Source organism: Homo sapiens, chromosome 1 (genome assembly GCF_000001405.40).
Source record: "Homo sapiens chromosome 1, GRCh38.p14 Primary Assembly".
NCBI classification, from domain to species: Eukaryota; Metazoa; Chordata; class Mammalia; order Primates; family Hominidae; genus Homo; species Homo sapiens.
Window position 1 is genome coordinate 197038423 of NC_000001.11, and position 18829 is coordinate 197057251.

General features: G+C 34.1%; 1 protein-coding gene across 7 annotated transcripts in view; it reads right to left on the reverse strand.

Moving 5' to 3' along the window:
* Positions 319-18829, reverse strand: part of F13B (coagulation factor XIII B chain) — a 28520-nt gene continuing 10009 nt past the window's right edge. For 2 of the 7 annotated variants that reach the window (XM_011509283.3, XM_011509286.3), the window contains exons 7-12: positions 18591-18776; positions 17293-17475; positions 14212-14412; positions 12275-12457; positions 2100-2313; positions 319-1955 (exon numbers count right to left, since the gene is read on the reverse strand). In XM_011509283.3, the coding sequence (XP_011507585.1) occupies positions 1877-1955; positions 2100-2313; positions 12275-12457; positions 14212-14412; positions 17293-17475; positions 18591-18776 (1046 nt within the window). In that variant the 3' untranslated portion in view covers positions 319-1876. Of the gene's footprint in view, positions 1956-2099; positions 7749-12274; positions 12458-14211; positions 14413-17292; positions 17476-18590; positions 18777-18829 lie in introns of those variants that run through there. The other 5 variants (XM_047449422.1, XM_011509284.3, NM_001994.3 and 2 more) reach the window with 5 other exon arrangements.

Below are 18829 nucleotides of genomic sequence, written 5' to 3' on the forward strand. Positions count from 1 at the left end.
AAAATGTAAAAATGCCAAGAGTCCTGGGAGGCCAAGGCGGGTGGATCACATGAGGTCAGGAGTTCGAGGCCAGCCTGGTCAACATGGTGAAACCTTGTCTCTACTAAAAATACAAAAAAAAAAAAAAAACCGTAGCGGGCGTGGTGGTACACGCCTGTAATCCCAGCTACTTGGAAGGCTGAGGAAGGAGAATTGCTTGAACACGGGAGGCAAAAATTGCAGTGAGCCAAGATCATGCCATTGCACTCTAGCCTGGGCGACAGAGCAAGACTCTGTCTCTAAATAAATAAATAAATAAATAAATAAAATTAAATAAAATTCCAAGGGTCATTCTTTCTTTAATTGTGTCTCTTTAACAATATTTGAGCACATGTTCAAATATGGTAGTACACCACCTCATAAACAATTTGGTTATTAACGTTGTAGCAAATATTACAGTTAATTTTAAAAGTTTTTTACATTTAGAAAGTCTGAAGGGCAGTCTCTTCTGCCTTTAATAAGGCAGATCCTCTAATACAGCATATAGTTTCTTATCTCTAGTGTGTTTGGCCCTTTAATAGTGACATAAACTTTGAATTAAGGGTAACAAAAGCCTTAATATTAATAAAGATGATGACGAATGTGAATGTGAAATTTTTGCACATACAGTATATTGAAAACAACTATATAGTCTAGTCAATGGGCATTAGGAAATGAAAATATGATGTGTAGATTAATTTGTAACAGATGGAAGACATACAAAAGAGATTAAGTTCTACATCAAATCATACAAACTAAAAATTAGACATTTATTGGTTTTCATTTATAAATAACGAAATGTTCAGCACAAATAATTTAGATTCAAATATTTAAGCAAGGAAAAACTCCGAAGTTTTTAACTTATTTCCTCAAAATTATATTTTATAAGGAATTTCATGATGTATTGAAATATGACTCCTCTTTCTGCCATTCATTTCTATGTTCTTAAGGGTTCTTGATAAGACAGAGTGCTTGAGGGGAAAAAGAGAGATTTTTGAAATAAGCATCAATTGCAGTCAGGTGTTAATTACAATCTCAGCCTTTCAATTTTTCATATAATGAGTCATTGTTTTTATTAAGTACTAATAAGAATAAATGATCTTACTTAGTAAATAATACCACCAGTTCCCTTTTAAAAATGCAATATTATTTACTACACTACTCATGATTTTTTAAATATTTTCTACGTGTTTACCTTTTTCTCTTAAAAGTGAGAAATTCATACTGTACCAAAACATTTAAATAGCATATAAAATTTTTTCCACCCTGATGCTACCACAATTAGAAATAAAAATAAAAATTTTTCCCACTATTGTGTGTCTTTTAAATATTTTTTTACTAGAGTGGTCAAAGCATCTAAAAAACTGACTTTATGTAGTTCATACAGTTCATTGTTTGCATTTTTTAAAACAGGACCACATGCACTTTGCCACTACTTATATTTTTAATATTCTTAGTTGAACAAAAAATATAATTTCCATTTTTTATATATAGTGTCTTCAAAAAGGGTTAAAATTGTGATCCTACAAAATGGTTTACATCATTTTATTATACTTTTTTAACATTTCTCTAAGAAAATTGTTAAATTATTTCCTGTAAGTAGCAGAGGATATATTTTTTAAACTGTCATATGAGGAAACACTTTAGTATGTAATTTCCAAAAGTTACACAAAAATGTGGTCCTGAAAATAAATACCACATTTTCCAACCTTTATTAGTAGTGCTTGAACTTATATTGAGAAGTAGGAGAAAGTGTGATTTTTGTCCTTATCACAGAACATATAGGTTAATTTTTGCACATTGAAATATTGCACGTATAAATTGGTTTATTTTTCCATTTGCCAAAGTGTCACAAATATCAAATGGCAAACGTTGCTTTCACTTCAGACAATTCAGAAGGCCTGTTGAATTGATTACCACTTCCAGTTGTTTGTTTGGTGTAAAAAAAATGAAGAAAATATTATTATTTTTTCTTTGCAATTGCCATAAAGTATGAGTGGTATAGAACATAACATTTCTGAAATGTTGAATAACAATCTGACCAAAAAAAATAATCTGACCAAAAAAAAAAAACTTCTTACCTTTGTCTTGGAATACATCTTGGATATTTTAACTGCCCTCTGTCACATTGCATTCTAAGTATAGATCCAGTAATATATAATTCAGCTGGATAAGTATCTCCTCTACAAATAAACTCAATATATTCACCATGCAAAATGTGTGGTCTATTGTCAAAATCCCATTTCAGAAGTAAATTATTCTTTTCCATTTCAGTAAAAGATAATGTGCATGGCTCTGGGAACAACAATTTAAAAAAAAAGAAAGAAAAAGAAGAAAACTATCTTGTTACATCTTGGTAAGAACAGGAATCGTTGTGTTGCCTACTCATGAGGACCTTAAAATTCTCAGGCCTAAGAGCAGCAAGTCAGTTAATCAGAATTAATATTTGAGTCAGAAAATATGTTCAAATCTCACAGAAAACAGTGAGCCATTTCTCTCTGTGGTCCTGGATTTGGAGAAAAGGTATTTTCTTCCAGTTTTAAAAACTAAAAGGTATTTTAGTTTTATGTCATTAGCTTTTTCAAAGATAGCAAACAAACAAAAAGGTATTTGGGGGGAAGCATTGACAGTTACTAATGGTCATTGATATCATGCTCTTTTCCCTTTTCCTTCTTCAGAAAGTTCAAATAAAATTCTCATGAGACAAATTATTAATTGCTGTATAAATAACATTTTATGGAAATGTAGATTCTCAACACTGACCCAAGCTTTATAACCTCATGCCATCCAAAATGGTTGACAGTTACTTCTCTTTCAAATTTCTAGTTAAGAAATATCAAGACTGGATTAAGACGTTTTAAATTCTAAGCATACAAAGTATAGTTGTGTCCTTTCCCATGTATCGTAAACCAAAGAGAATGGTAAAGTATGTATTAAAATACACAAAAAAACCTCTTCGATTTTTTTTACAGAATAAAAACATTAATATTTCTAAAATATCAAATATCAAATTATTTCAGAAAATGGGATTTCTTATGTCCTTATTTGTCTCCTGGATGACCTAGCATTAAGGAATAACTTCTGAGACAGGTAAAAAGGTCCAGAGTTGCTAATATGGCATATCAATCATATACCTGTAGTACATTAACAAACTTACTTACAGTATGCCCCTCCCTGATTGCCTACAGGGGATACATTTCAAGAGCCCCAGTGCATGCCTGAAACCGCAGATAATGCTAAACCCTGTTGTCATTCTTTTGGAACATGTTTCTGTTCATGTCTTCTGCCCACAAATTTAATGCCTCTTCCACCTCAACTAAACATTTATTATACACTGTGGCTTGTAACTTTTGCAGTTTGAGGTGCAACAACGAAACTAGCATGGATTTCTTTTTCCTTCTTCACACTTTCATAGACAGAAGACTCATTGTTACCATGGATCTTAGCAACCTCAGCATACATTTATTTTTCCTTTCTTTTTAAGTTAAGAATTTCCGCCCTTTCACTTAAAGGAAGCACTTTACAGCTTCTTTTTAGCATATCTGGGGCAGGAAGGATGGAATGGCATGAAATTTTATTATACTACTAAGTGCATAATTTAAAATTTATAAGTTGTTTATTTCTGAAATTTTCAATTTAACGTTTTCAGACTGCAGTTTATAGCAGGTAACTGAAACCACAGAAAGTGAAACCGCAGCTGAGAGCACTGTGTTCAGTTACTTTCTTCAACAACTACTTATTAAATGCCTATGTGTCAAACATTATGCTGGAAGTGCTACAGGTGATGAAAATGAACAAGAATTATTACACTCATTACAAAATAGTTGTGAAAATGAAGTCGAATAGCACTATAATTTACGATGTCACTGTTCTACAGAACATGAGATTTAAATTAAAATAAATTTAAAAGTTGATTCATGGACCTTTAACTTTCAGCTATGACAGAGGAGATTATATCAAACCAGCACTTCTATTAAGAACCAGAAAATCTGAAAAACAGGAAGCATTTCGAGGTATCAGAAAACCTCCAAGGAACTTAGTCAAGGAAGTAAGGTTCTGGAAAAAATGTATTCAGGTGAGTTCAACATCTATGTGAGGCTGGGCGTGGTGACTCACACCTGTAATCCCAGCACTTTGGGAGGCCAAGGCGGGCGGATCATCTGAGGTCAGGAGTTTGAGACCAGCCTGGCCAACATGGTGAAACCCCATCTCTACAAAAAAAAAAAAAAAATAGCCGGGCATGGTGGCATGCACCTGTAATCCCAGCTACTCGGGAAAGCTGAGGCAGAAGAATCTCTTGAACCTAGAAGGTGGAGGTTGCAGTGAGCAGGGATCGCACCACTGCACTCCAGCCTGGGCAACAAAAGGAGACTGTCTAAAAAAAAAAAAAAATTCTATGTGCCATTTTTTTCTCTTGAGGTGTTTGTTGACTCTAAGTCTGACCTGAGAGGTTAGATGATAGAGAATGGTAAGCTTAGGCATACAGCCAGCAGAACTTCTGAAAATCTCATGGAGTTGAAGATAGAAAAATGAGAATTTCGGTAAACCAAAGCAGCCAGGACTTGAAGAATAAAGAATTTAGAAGGATAGGAAGTGTAGAGATATGAGTTTGAGGCTCTGCACTAGCTTTTCCCTAAGGTACTGCTTATCCTTGACTTGTATAGAGGCATAGGATGAGAAGCCAAGCAGAAAGTAAATAAAAAGTTACAGTGGGCATTTGGCAGTCTCCCAGTAATATCAGAGACAGTCAAGGAGAAAAAGCTTTAATACACACAACAAACCCTCTGTAAAGAGCCCTGGAGAGTTACAGTCTGTGAGAAAAGGCAAACAGAGGTCTGAAAACAAACATAGAGAAAGCTTTATTTCTAATTGTATTAAAACCAACTGCCTCTACACTAATCATCAGCCAGAGGATGAGATGAGTCTTCTTTGGAGTAAGCTGACATCATCCAAACATCCTGAAATTTTCCACGTATAATATTTGGAATTCAATCAACTGTTAACAAAAATATCAAGAATTTGGGGCTAAAAAATAGATCCAGATATTGGAGTTTGCAGACAAGCCTTAATAAAAAGTATGAATTATATGTTCAAGAAGTTGATGTTAAGCTAGGATCTTTCATCAGATAACTCAAATCTACAAAAAGAAAATATAAAATAGAAATGCAAAGATGATAACTGAAATTGAGAACTCAAAAGATGAGTTTAAAGCAGATTGGATACATCTAAAGAGAGGATTGTTAAACTAGAAGAAAATTACCAAATAGAAACAAAGAAATGATACAATGAGAAAATTACCAAAAAATTACTACAGTGAAACAAGAAGAAAATGAGAGAAAATATAGATTTAAAGAGACAATGGCATAGCAAAAAGATGTAATATATGTAATATGGCATCACAGAAGAGGTGAGAAATGTACATTTTAAAAGATATTAGCCAAACATTTCTAAAACCCATGAAGGATATCAAGTACATCAAGGTTCAAGGAATGCTACTAACTTGAAGAACAAAATGTACAAAGAGAGTCTCATTGTGTTGCACTGATCTCCCTGGGAGCTGCAGACCGGAGCTGTTCCTATTCGGCCATCTTGGAACTAACTCATATATATATATATTTATATATATATAGAGAGAGAGAGAGAAAGAGAGAGAGGGAGAGATTTGTTTCTGATTTGTTTCTAAGGAACTCCAGCCTGGGCAGCACAGTGAGAAATGGTACACTCCTGACCAAATACTGTGCTTTTCCCAAGGTCTTAGCCACCGACAGACCAGGAGATACCCTCCCTTGCCTGGCTCAGCAGTTTCCACGCCCATGGAGCCTTGCTCACTGCTAGCTCAGCAGTCTGAGATCAACCTGTGACACGACAGCGTTATGGGGGGAGGGTCGTCTACTATTGCTGAGCAGGGGTTACAATCCTAGTCTCTGATAAAACAGACTTTAAACCAACAAAGATCAAAAGAGACAAAGAAGGCCATTACATAATGGTAAAGGGATCAATTCAACAAGAAGAACTAACTATTCTAAATATATATGCACCCAATTCAGGAGCACCCAGGTTAATAAAGCAAGTCCTTAGAGACCTGCAAAGAGATTTAGACTCCCACACAATAATAATGGGAGACTTTAACACCCCACTGTCAATACTAGACAGATCAACGAGACAGAAGGTAAATAAGAATATCCAGGACTTGAACTCAGCTCTGGACCAAGCAGACCTAATGGACATCTGCATAACTCTCCACTCCAAATCAAAAGAATATACATTCTTCTCAGCACCACACTGCACTTATTCCAAAATTGACCACATAACTGCAAGTAAAACACTCTTTGGCAAATGAAAAAGAACAGAAATCACAACAAACTGTCTCTCAGACCACAGTGCAATCAAATTAGAACTCAGGATTAAGAAACTCACTCAAAACTGCACAACTACATGGAAACTGAACAGCCTACTCCTGAATGACTACTAGATAAATAACGAAATGAAGGCAGAAATAAAGATGTTCTTTGAACCCAGTAAGGACAAAGACACTACGTACCAGAATCTCTGGGACACATTTAAAGCAGTGTGTAGTGGGAAATTTATAGCACTAAATGCCCACAAGAGAATGCAGGAAAGATCTAAAATCGACACCCTAACATCACAATGAAAGAACTAGAGAAGCAAGAGCAAACACATTCAAACGCTAGCAGAAGGCAAGAAATAACTAAGATCAGAGCAGAACTGAAGGAAATAGAGACACAAAAAATCCCTTCAAAAAAATCAATGAATCCAGGAACTGTTTTTTTAAAAAAGATAAACAAACTACATAGACTGAGAGCAAGACTAATAAAGAAGAAAAGAGAGAAGAATCAAATAGATGCAATAAAATATAATAAAGGGAATATCACCACCAATCCCACAGAAATACAAACTACCATCAGAGAATACTATAAACACTCTATGCAAATAAACTAGAAAATCTAGAAGAAATGGACAAATTCCTGGACACATACACCCTTCCAAGACTAAACCAGAAAGAAGTTGAATGTCTGAATAGACCAATAACAGGGTCTGAAATTGAGGCAATAATTAATAGCCTACAAATCAAAAAAAGCCCAGGACCAGATGGATTCACAGCCGAATTCTACCAAAGGTACAAAGAGGAGCTGGTACCATTCCTTCTGAAACTATTCCAATCAATAGAAAAAGAGGGAATCCTCCCTAATTCATTTAATGAAGTCAGCATCATCCTGATATCAAAGCCTGGCAGAGACACAACAACAACAAAAAACAGAATTTAGACCAATATTCCTGATGAACATCGATGTGAAAATCCTCAATAAAATACTGGCAAACCAAATCCAGCAGCACATCAAAAAGCTTATCCACCACGATCAAGATGGCTTCATCCCTGGGATGCAATGCTGGTTCAACATACACAAATCAATAAACATAATCCATGACATAAACAGGACCAATGACAAAAACCACATGATTATCTCAATAGATTCAGAAAAAGCCTTCGACAAAATTCAACAGCCCTTCATGCTAAAAACTCTCAATAAACAAGGTATTGAGGGAATGTACCTCAAAATAATATGAGCTGTTCATGACAAACCCACCACCAATATCTTACTGAATGGGCAAAAAGTGGAAGCATTTGCTTTGAAAACTGGCACAAGACAGGGATGCCCTCTCTCACCACTCCTATTCAACATAGTGTTGGAAGTTCTGGCCAGGGCAATCTGTCAAGAGAAAGAAATAAATGGTATTAAATTAGGAAAAGAGGAATTCAAATTGTCCCTGTTTGCAGATAACATGATTATATATTTAGAAAACCCCATCGTCTCAGCCCAAAATCTCCTTAAGCTGATAAACAATTTCAGGAAAGTCTCAGGATACAAAATCAATGGCAAAAATCACAAGCATTCCTATACATCAATAATAGACAAACAGAGAGCCAAATTATGAGTGAACCCCCATTCACAATTACTTCAAAGAGAATAAAATACCTAGGAATCCAACTTACAAGGGATGTGAAGGACCTCTTCAAGAACTACTAACCACTGCCCAACGAAATAAAAGATGACACAAACAAATGGAAGAACATTCCATGCTCATGGATAGGAAGAATCAATATCGTGAAAATGGCCATGCTGCCTAAGGTAATTTATAGATTCAATGCCATCCCCATCAAACTACCATTGACTTTCTTCACAGAATTGGACAAAACTACTTTAAAATTCATATGGAACCAAAAAAGAGCCCGCATTGCCAAGACAATCCTAAGCAAAAAGAACAAAGCTGGAGGCATCAGGCTACCTGACTTCAAACTATAATACAAGGCTACAGTAACCAAAACAGCATGATACTGGTACCAAAACAGATATATAGACCAATGGAACAGAACAGAGGCCTCAGAAATAATGCACACACATACAACCATCTGATGTTTGACAAACCTGACAAAAACAAGAAATGGGAAATGATTTCCTATTTCATAAATGGTGTTGGGAAAACTGGCTAGCCATATGTAGAAAGCTGAAACTGGATCACTTCCTTATACCTTATACAAAAATTAACTCAAGATGCATTAAAAATTTAAATGTAAGACCTAACACCATACAAACCCTAGAAGAAAACCTAGGCAATATCATTCAGGACATAGGCATTGGCAAGTACTTCATGACTAAAACACCAAAAGTAATGGCAACAAAAGCCAAAATAGACAAATGGAATTTAATTGAACTAAAGAGCTTCTGCACAGCAAAAGAAACGATCATCAGAGTGAACAGGCAACCTACAGAATGGGAGAAAATTTTTGCAATCTATCCATCTGACAAAGAGCTACCATCCAGAATCTACAAAGAGCTTAAAAAGTTTACGAGAAAAAAACAACCCCATCAAAAAGTGGGCAAAGGATACGAACAGACACTTCTCAAAAGAAGACATTTATGCAGCCAACAGACATATGAAAAAATGCTCATCATCACTGGTCATCAGAACCACAATGAGAGACCATCTCACTCCAGTTACAATGGCGATCATTAAAATGTCAGGAAACAGCAGATGCTGGAAAGGATGTGGAGAAATAGGAGCGCTTTTACACTGTTGGTGGGAGTATGAACTAGTTCAATCATTGTGGAAGACAGTGTGGCGACTCCTCAAGGATCTAGAACTAGAAATACCATTTGACCTAGTGATCTCATTACTGGGTATATACCCAAAGGATTATAAGTCATTCTGCTATAAAGACAAATGCACAGATATGTTTTTTGCAGAACTATTCACAATAGCAAAACTTGGAACCAACCCAAATGTCTATCAATGATAGACTGGATTAAGAAAATGTGGCACATACACACCATGGAATACTATGCAGCCATTAAAAAGGATGAGTTCATGCCCTTTGCAGGGACATGGATGAAGCTGGAAGCCATCATTGTAAGCAAACTATTACAAGGACAGAAAACCAAACACTGCATGTTCTCACTCATAGGTGAGTGTTGAAGAATGAGAACACATGGACACAGGGCAGGGAATATCAAACACCAGGGCCTGTCTGTGGGGGTCTGGGGGAGGGATAGCTTTAGGAGAAATACCTAATGTAAATGAAGAGTTGATGGGTGCAGCAAACCAACATGGCACATGTATACCTATGTAACAAACCTGCACATTGTGCATATGTACCCTAGAACTTAAAATATTATATATATATATGTGTATATATATATACACACACACCTATATGGAGAGAGAGAGAGAAAGAGGGAGATGACCAATGGGATATACATGGAGTATAGTAACATACACCTAGTATAGAAAGTTGGTAGGGTTGGTAGGTATAAACAGAAATATATTAGTAATTACATGAATATGTAAATAGACTATTCCATTACAAGGGAAAAAATTATAAACTGCATAAGTATATTTTAAAATAAGGTATATATTGCTTATAAGAGAGGCACACTAAAAGTAAAAACCCAGAAGGTTGAAAGTTAAGGGATGGAAAAATGTGTACTACATGAATGCTTGTCAAAAGCCCCTTGGTGCAGCTAAAGGAGACCTCAAGGCAAAAAAAAAGGCAAAGCATTACTATATATGAAGGAGGTCTTTTAAAATTAGACAATGCCAATACACCAAGATACGAAGATTTAGTGTCTCAATTTGTGTGTGTACCTAATGAAATAGTATCAAAATACAAAAGCAAAAATGGACAGAACTAAAATTAGTAATGTTTTAAAATGCCAAGTGAGACTTTAACATGCTTCTCTCCGTGATTGATAGAAAACAAACACACACAAATCAGTACAGCTTTGGATTAACTTAAACATCAAAAACAAAACTCAATCCAATTCACATATATAAAACAGTGAACCCAACAATGACAAAGTTAACTTTTTTCAAGTATGAAAAGAACGTTTACCTAAAGCAAATACATGCTTGTTATAAAGCAAATATCAACAAATTTTAAAGTGCAGATATAATTCAAAGTATGTCTTAATTGAATTAAACTAGAAATCAGTAACCAAAAGAAAACTAGAAAATCCCCTAAATATTCAGAACTTTAAAAAGAAACTTCTAAATGATTCAGAGCACAGAGAATATATCAAAATGAATACTATAAAATTTTTGAGCTGAATGACAGTAAAAATCCAAGATATAAAAATGGTTTGGATGAAGTTAAAGTTGTGCTCAGAGAGAAATTTCTATTTTTAAATTCATGTATTAGAAAAAATATAAATGCTGAAAATTAGTAATCTATGTATTCATCTAAACAAGCCAGAAAAAGAGTAACAAAAGAAATCCAAGAACATAGAAGAAAGGAAATAATAAAGATAATAGCATAATTAATAAAATAGAAAGCAAAATTTGATGAATCAACAAATGCAAATGTTGGTTTTTTGAAAACACTAATAAAATGTATAGACCCTTAGCAAGGCATGTCAAGACAGATACATATTAATAGAAGTAATAACAAAAGATACATCAATAAAAACATCAAAAAGAGGATAGGAAGATGTCATAACTACTTTATGTTAGTAGATTTGACAATGTAGTTGTAATGAACCATCAAGAAACCACTCCCTACCAAAACTGACAGAAGAAGAAATAATTACCATTATTTGTTAAACAAATCGAAGCTGTCAATTTGTCTTTTCACGGAAAAACTCAAGTCCCAGATGGCTTCTCTGGTTAACTCTTAAAATTATAAAGGAAGAAATAGCATCAATCCAGAGAACCAGAAAAGACGGAACACTTCCCATTCATGGGATGAGGTCAGCACAGACTTGATATCAAACCAGAAAGGAAAATAACCAACCAGTCTTTCTCATGAAAATAGATGAGTAAAATATTGATAAATAAAAATATAACATATAATATGCATAATTTATCACAACCTTGTGGAATTTCTTATGGGAATAGAATCATGCTTTAACATTCAAAAGAAGCAATATAATTCATTAAATTTGCAGGGGAAAAAACAAAAGTAATAATTATGTAATTATTTCAACAGATATTGCTAAAAATTAAACACAGATTGAAGATTCTTTAAAAATACTTTCGGCAAAATAGAAAGAAAGGTTTTTATACCTTTAACTTGATTTTTAAAAAAATATTTATAACAACACATAGAGGTGAATTATCAAAGGTTTTACTTATGAGAATGGGAAGCAAATAAAGATATCCACTACCTCTTCCATTCAACATTGTACTGAAGTCCTAGCCAGTGAAAGAAGATAAGAGAAGTAAATAAAAGTCAGAATTGGAAATAAAAAATATTTTCTTATTATTTACAGATGTGCTATTTCATGCCTCTGAGGGCCTTAGTAAATGTTGTTACTCTTACTAGGATGCCTTGCTAATAAAACATTAACTTGCTTCATCTTTCCATATTGAGTTGTCCATTTCTTTATTTCCGCATTGTTTTCTATTATACATGTTTCCCTAATGTTTTCTATTATAGTACCAATCACAATGAATGATAATTGTTAAAGTTTACTCACACCACTATGGCTTATTCAACTTATAGCCCATACCAACCTGATGTGTGGTTTGTCTTTAAAAAAATATGTATTACAACAAACTGAACTATAGGTATTTATGATCTAGAGGAAAGAATAGAAAGCAGTGATAAAATAAGCACATGAATAAAATAACACAAATGTAGCAAATATAGCATTATATTAGTGTTATGTTAACTCAAAAATGACAGCAAATTAAAAATATATAGTTTTACTTTGTTAGAGGCATATTTAGTAGTACATACCTAAACACAATGGTGGTGTAGTCCACATTCCATCTAAACAATAGGCCTCCCTAGATCCTTCTAGGAAATGGTGATCAAAACATCTGTATTCTACTGAAGAGCCATTTTCATAGGTGTCTACTGTTGAACTAATAATGACTCCATGTTTAATAAGAGGAGGAGATGTGCACATTCCTTTAGATTCTGCAAAAATAAGTTTTAAAGTATACAATGAATTGCTATAATGAACATCCAGTACTTTATAAGTGCTACAGAGACAGAGTCTCCCTCTGTCACCCAGGCTGGAGTATGGTGGCATGATCATGACTCACTGCAACCTCTGCCTCCCAGGCTCAAGTGATCCTCCTGTCTTAGCCTCCCAACTAGTTGGGACTACAGGTGCATTTTTCTTTTGTAGAGACAGGGTCTCACTATGTTGCTCAGGTTGGTCTTGAATTCCTGGGCTCAAGAAATCTGCCCACCTTGGCCTCCCAAAGTGCTGGGATTACAGGCGTGAGCCACTGCACCTAGCCATAAAGCCATTTTTTAGGCAGTTCTCAAATATTTTTAAAATATTGAAGATGTTTTTGCAATAATATTATACCATACAATGTATTTTTATAATTAGAATCCCACGTTATAGTGTTTACATGCATATTTAAAACTATGAGAGTATTAACAATCATGATTTTATTTCTCCCTAAGTGTATATGGGATTTTTCTAGAAGCCATGATTTCTGTATATATTATTTTCCTTTTCTTCCTTATTAAAAGTAATAGTCCCTATAGCCAGTGAGTACTGAGACAATGGGTCCCCAGAAAGCCCTAAGTAGAGCAATGCTTTACAGTGTTTGTTGTTGAGTGCTCACAAGAAGGTGATCAATTCTCTGATAGTCTGGCAACATTTATAAAACCTCTTGATTTTTTCCCTTCATAAAATTGACTTATTGGAATTAAAAGATGTCAGCATGGCCATCCTATATAGGTATATATGCTGATTGAAGTTTGGAAGTTGGATCACTCCTCTCAACTTTATAGATTAGAATATGATGGTGGTGAATTGGGGTCATAGGTATAAATTTTCTCTAAAGATCAGCGATGTTGAGCTTTTTCCTCATATGTTTGTTGGCCACATAAATGTCTTCTTTTGAGAAGTGACTGTTTATATCCTTTGCCTACTTTTTGATGGTGTTGTTCGTTTTTTTCTTGTAAATTTGTGTTAAGTTCCATGTAGATTCTGGATATTAGACCTTTGTCACATGGGCAGATTGCAAAAATTTTCTCCCATTCTGTAAGTTTCCTGTTCACTCTGATGATAGTTTCTTTTGCTGTGCAGAAGCTCTTTAGGTTAATTAGATCTCATTTGTCAGTTTTGGCTCTCATCGCAATTGCTTTTGGCATTTTCGTCATTAAGTATTTGCCCATGCCTATGTCCTGAATGGTATTGCCTAGGTTTTCTTCTAGAGTTTTTATGGTTTGGGGTTTTTACATTTAAATCTTTAATCCATCTTGAGTTAATTTTTGTATAAGGTGTAATCACAATGAGACACCATTTCACACCAGTCAGAATGGCAATTACTAAAAAGCCAAGAAACAATAGATGCTGGTAAGGCTGGGGAGAAATAGGAATGCTTTTACACTGCTGATGGGAATGTAAATTAGTTCAACCATTGTGGAAGACAGTGTGGTGATTCCTCAAGGACCTAGAACCAGAAATGAAATTCGACGCAGCAATTCCATTACTGGAATTGCAAACCACCATGGCACACGTATACCCATGTAACAAACCTGCACATTCTGCACTTGTGTCTCAGAACTCAAAGTAAAATAAAATAAAATAAAACAAAATTAAAAAGAATAATAATAAGAAAAATAGCAACAAACTATAAATAAATTTTCAACCGAGGTAGCAGATATTGGTCAAGTAAAGATACTTGCAGAGAACATTATTATTTTACCTTTTCTAGTACATAAAGGATATTTCACTTCTCCTCTGTTGCACTGCACAGATAATTCAGACAATGGGGTTAATGGAGATAAGTCATATCCCTGTTTACATACAAAATCTATTAAATCTCCATGTAAGACTTTCCCTTCATATTTCCACTTCATTTCTATGTTATTTCTGTTCATGTAATCCACATTAACAGTACATGGTTCTGTAAAACAAAATGCTCTTTTAAATTCTTTACTTGTCTGACAAATATAAAAGTGATATTTTTTAAAACAAAAATTATGACAAGTTTCAAAAGCAATATTTTATAATTGAAATCATAATTAAGGCTTCTCTCACACACATATATATATAAGAAAATATATACTTTATTACTATCAAATGAATCTATACATTATTGTCATAAACTAAAACCACTTAATTTAAAACATCAAAAATACTATTTAAGGGCATCAATCAGTTAGATTAATAATAATTTTCTTTCTATAAAATAAAAACCTTTAACTACCATGTAGAAAATAATAGAAAACCTGCTAATGAATAAAACCAAGACTCCTGCTCCCATGGAGCTTACCTTCTAACTGGGAGAAACACCTACAATACATAATAAATATAATAAAGACATGAATTGTATAATTTGTGGCTGATATGGTTTGGCTGTGTGCCTACCCAAATCTCATCTTGAATTGTAGCTCCCATAATTCCCATATGTCATGGGAGGAACCTGGTTGGAGGTAATTGAATCCTGGGGTGGGTCTTTCCCATGCTGTTCTCATTACAGTGAATAAGTCTCATGAGATCTGATGGTTTTATAAAGGGGAGTTTCCCTGCACATGCTCTCTTGCTTGCCACCTTGTAAGACGTTCCATGCTTCTCCTTTGTCTTCTACCATGATTGTGAGGCCTCCCCAGCCATGTGGAACTGTGAGTGCATTAAATCTCTTTCCTTTATAAATTACCCAGTCTCAGGTATGTCTTTATTAGCAGCATGAGAACAGACTAACACAGTGGCCATCTTTAAACTACAGCATAAGATAAATTAGATGAAAAAAAGAGTACTGGAGCAGGAGGGGGTAACAAAAGAGCTAGGTGAAGAGAAGTTGCACTTTTCAGTAAGGTGATTAGGGTAGGCCTAAATAAGAAGTAAAAAAGCTTGAAGGGGACTTTGCACAAAAGCTTGAAGGAGACTGAGTGAACCATGTCATTTTCTTATGAAAGAGTGTCCCAAGCAAAGGGAACAACCAGTGCAAAGGCCCTGAAGTGAGAGCATTCTTGGCTTGTTTGTGGAAGAGTAAGGAGACCAGAAAGACTGGAGTGATTAGAGCAGGGAAGAGAGTATGGAGAGGTTAGAGAGACTCTTAATGTCTGGAATAATAATTCCTACAGAGAAAATTCTATGCTTTATCATACTGTTGTGAATTTGTACTGATAGCCTTTCCAGTTTCAATAGTTACCAAGATATACAAAGCCCCTTTCTCTTGCCCTGATAACAATGATTAATCTTCATTTGGTATTTGCTTTGATTCATTAGGACCAAACCTAACTCTCTTGAGGCAGTTGTTCCAGATATAGAATGATGTATTTCCTTAAATGTTGTTATTTCCTTATGAGCTTGTTTCATTACCAGCTTTGCCATAAATATTTTAATCTAGTCTTTGTCCTTAGAGATTACTATATCTCCACTCAATGCAATATCAACCAAAGCATCAAAAACTTAATATCAAAAACATTTATAAAAATATGAGACCAATAGCAAAATTCTATGTGAATATGTATCTGTATCTGAATTTGAATGGGAATCGACTCCTAAGAATTACTTGAAAGGTGGAAACTACTAACAAAAGGTTGAAAGAGCTCAAGACTTAAAACATACACTTATATATACTTAAAAACACTATAAATAAAAATAAATTAAAAATAATTGCAATAAACATGATTCTCAATTGGATAAAATAATTTATATATAGATTTATAAGTATGAAAAAATGGCTAAACTATGAATAATTAATTCATGTAAAAAAACCTGTGGCTACTAGAAAGTTAAAAAATTCCAAATTAATTAATTCTTAAATAAATCAAATTAAAATAATTGTGCTTGCCTGCTTAACAAAAAATGTCAAGATTAAAATATTCAAAGTTAACAAAGATTAGGATGATTACTACTTTAATTCACTTATGGTAGGGTTAACAAAGCAGAACAAACTTTCTGATAGACAATTTGCCAATTAATAGAAAAAGAATTAAAATTCCTGATCTCATGATAATTATTTTTAACAAAAATAAATATGTTTAACATGTACAAAGATTTACTTGAAAGTGTACTGTTTGGAATATAAAAATGTTGAACACTAAACATCCATCAATAAACTGGTTAAATTACATATGTATATCTGCATTATGGAATACTATGCAGCCATTAAAGTATATATTGTAGAAGTATGACAAACCATGTTTACAATATATTTTGAGTGAAAAAATCTAAGATATATACCTCTGCATCATATCATAGCATTTTGTGGAGTGTGTGCTTGTGTGTGTAAAACATTTAGAAGACCATTTATTATCTAAGTCATTAGCAAACACTTTTATATAATCAACAAGATGTAACAAACGTGTCCATTCAGATGAGGATGCGGTGGTAAAATTTAGCAATATACTCTATATAATATACTCTATAATATATTAGCAATATACTCTACCAAGGAAAGAATAGGACTAATTATTCTTCTTGAAATGACATTCTGAGGGCAATACAAGCAGAGATATTGAGGGCTGTATACCAGGGAGGGAATTTCAGCTAGGAGAAAGACAACCCAAAAGCTAATTGGTCACAAAAATGTTAATATACTTAATGCCACTGAATTGTACACTTAAAAATAGCTACGGTGGTAAATTTTATGTTATGTATATTTTACCACAATAGAAAAAATACACTAATATTTTAGGGACTTTCTACTTAAAGAAATGAGAGAGAAAACACTTGTGAAAAAAGATTTGTACAAAATCATCATTTTCATGATATAAAACACTGTAAGAAAATCACATAAAAGTACAAACGTAGACATTCCATGTGTTCTCTTTCTTACCCAAGCAAACAGGTGGGGATGACCATTTTCCTTGTTCGCAACGAGATATTTTTGATCCCCTCAGTAAGTAATATTCATTGCATCTATATTCCACTGAGGATCCTGTTGCATAGCTTGCCAATATCCCGTCTGCAACAGCCCCATTCATTACAACAGGAGGATGCTTACAATTCTCATTATTTTCTAAGAAAAGAGGTTGTTTTAAAATTAATATGAGCTCATAACAATATACTATAGTAACTCATACTATAGTGTCTCGATATTTGTATTATATAATTTAGGACAATTGTTTTATAAATTCATTACAAATATGAAAAATTTTTTCAGCTCAAATATTTTTAAAATTTGCTAAGCAAGAGTTGACAGCAAATATGTTACCTAAAAACAACTATACGTATTTTTCTCTTTTCTCAATTGTGAAGGAATTATGATATACACATTTCTTAAACCTATAGAATGAGAAACTGTTCTTCAACCTAAAGATTATGGTCAATTCTAAAATTGCTCTTTGGCATTACCCCACTTTTATTTTCTTCTTTTTCATTCCTCTTCATCTCAGGTCTCAATAGACCCATGAAGGAAATATCAATTTTTTTCCTCTTTTTGGTATCTTTCTCTCACTTTATCTATTTCTTTAGCATCCTTCATTGCTTTTGTCTTATTTAATAAATATCCTAGATAAACATGTGTGTGGAGATGTTGCTCTGATCTGATTAAGAAATGAGATAGATGACAGGAAGAGTAGTCTCCAGGAATGATAGTGTAGCCTGGTGGTGCCTTTCAGTAAAATGAAAGACCAGGGACATGTCTCAGAAGGGCATAAGGTTCAGAATGGCCAGATGCAAAATATCAGCAGGACTTACCCAAGGTCAAGAACAGAATGCACTACCCTAACTTTGCAGGACATATGGGGAGAAGAAGTAGATAATGCTCATGGCCCGTCACTCAATCCACCATGCCCTTATTTACTTATCTAATGAAGCACATCGTCATTTATGTGTTGTCATTTAGAACTTACAGGTAATGGCATGACACAGATCAGATAACCGTGCTTAGCACTAGCGTTCAAAAAAAACTTTTGTTTAAGAATTCTTTACATTGACTTAAATTCTACAGATAGCTACACATACAGGCACACACACATGCACACATGCAAAGCAGAAGAGTAGGTGCTGTAGCAATGTGTTTCTAATTTGCCTAAGCAGTGGTCTTTTCCTAGGAATATTCAGATTAAAGTAACAGAATGGAAAATTTTACACCATAAGTTTAGCTACTGATGGTAAATGTAGCATACATACCAACACACTCAGGAGGAAGTGTCCATTTTCCACGATTACAAGTTATCTCATTCGATCCATGGAGAAGGTAGCCGCTTTTACATGCATATGTCACTTTATCCCCATTGTAATAAATCTTAGAGTGTAAATTTGCTGCACCATTTTCAATGAAGGGTGGTTCCTCACAGGCTACCTTCTCCTGTCCTTCTGAAAAGGTACAGTTGAAAGAGAACTGACCATTTAGCTACACATGCAGATTT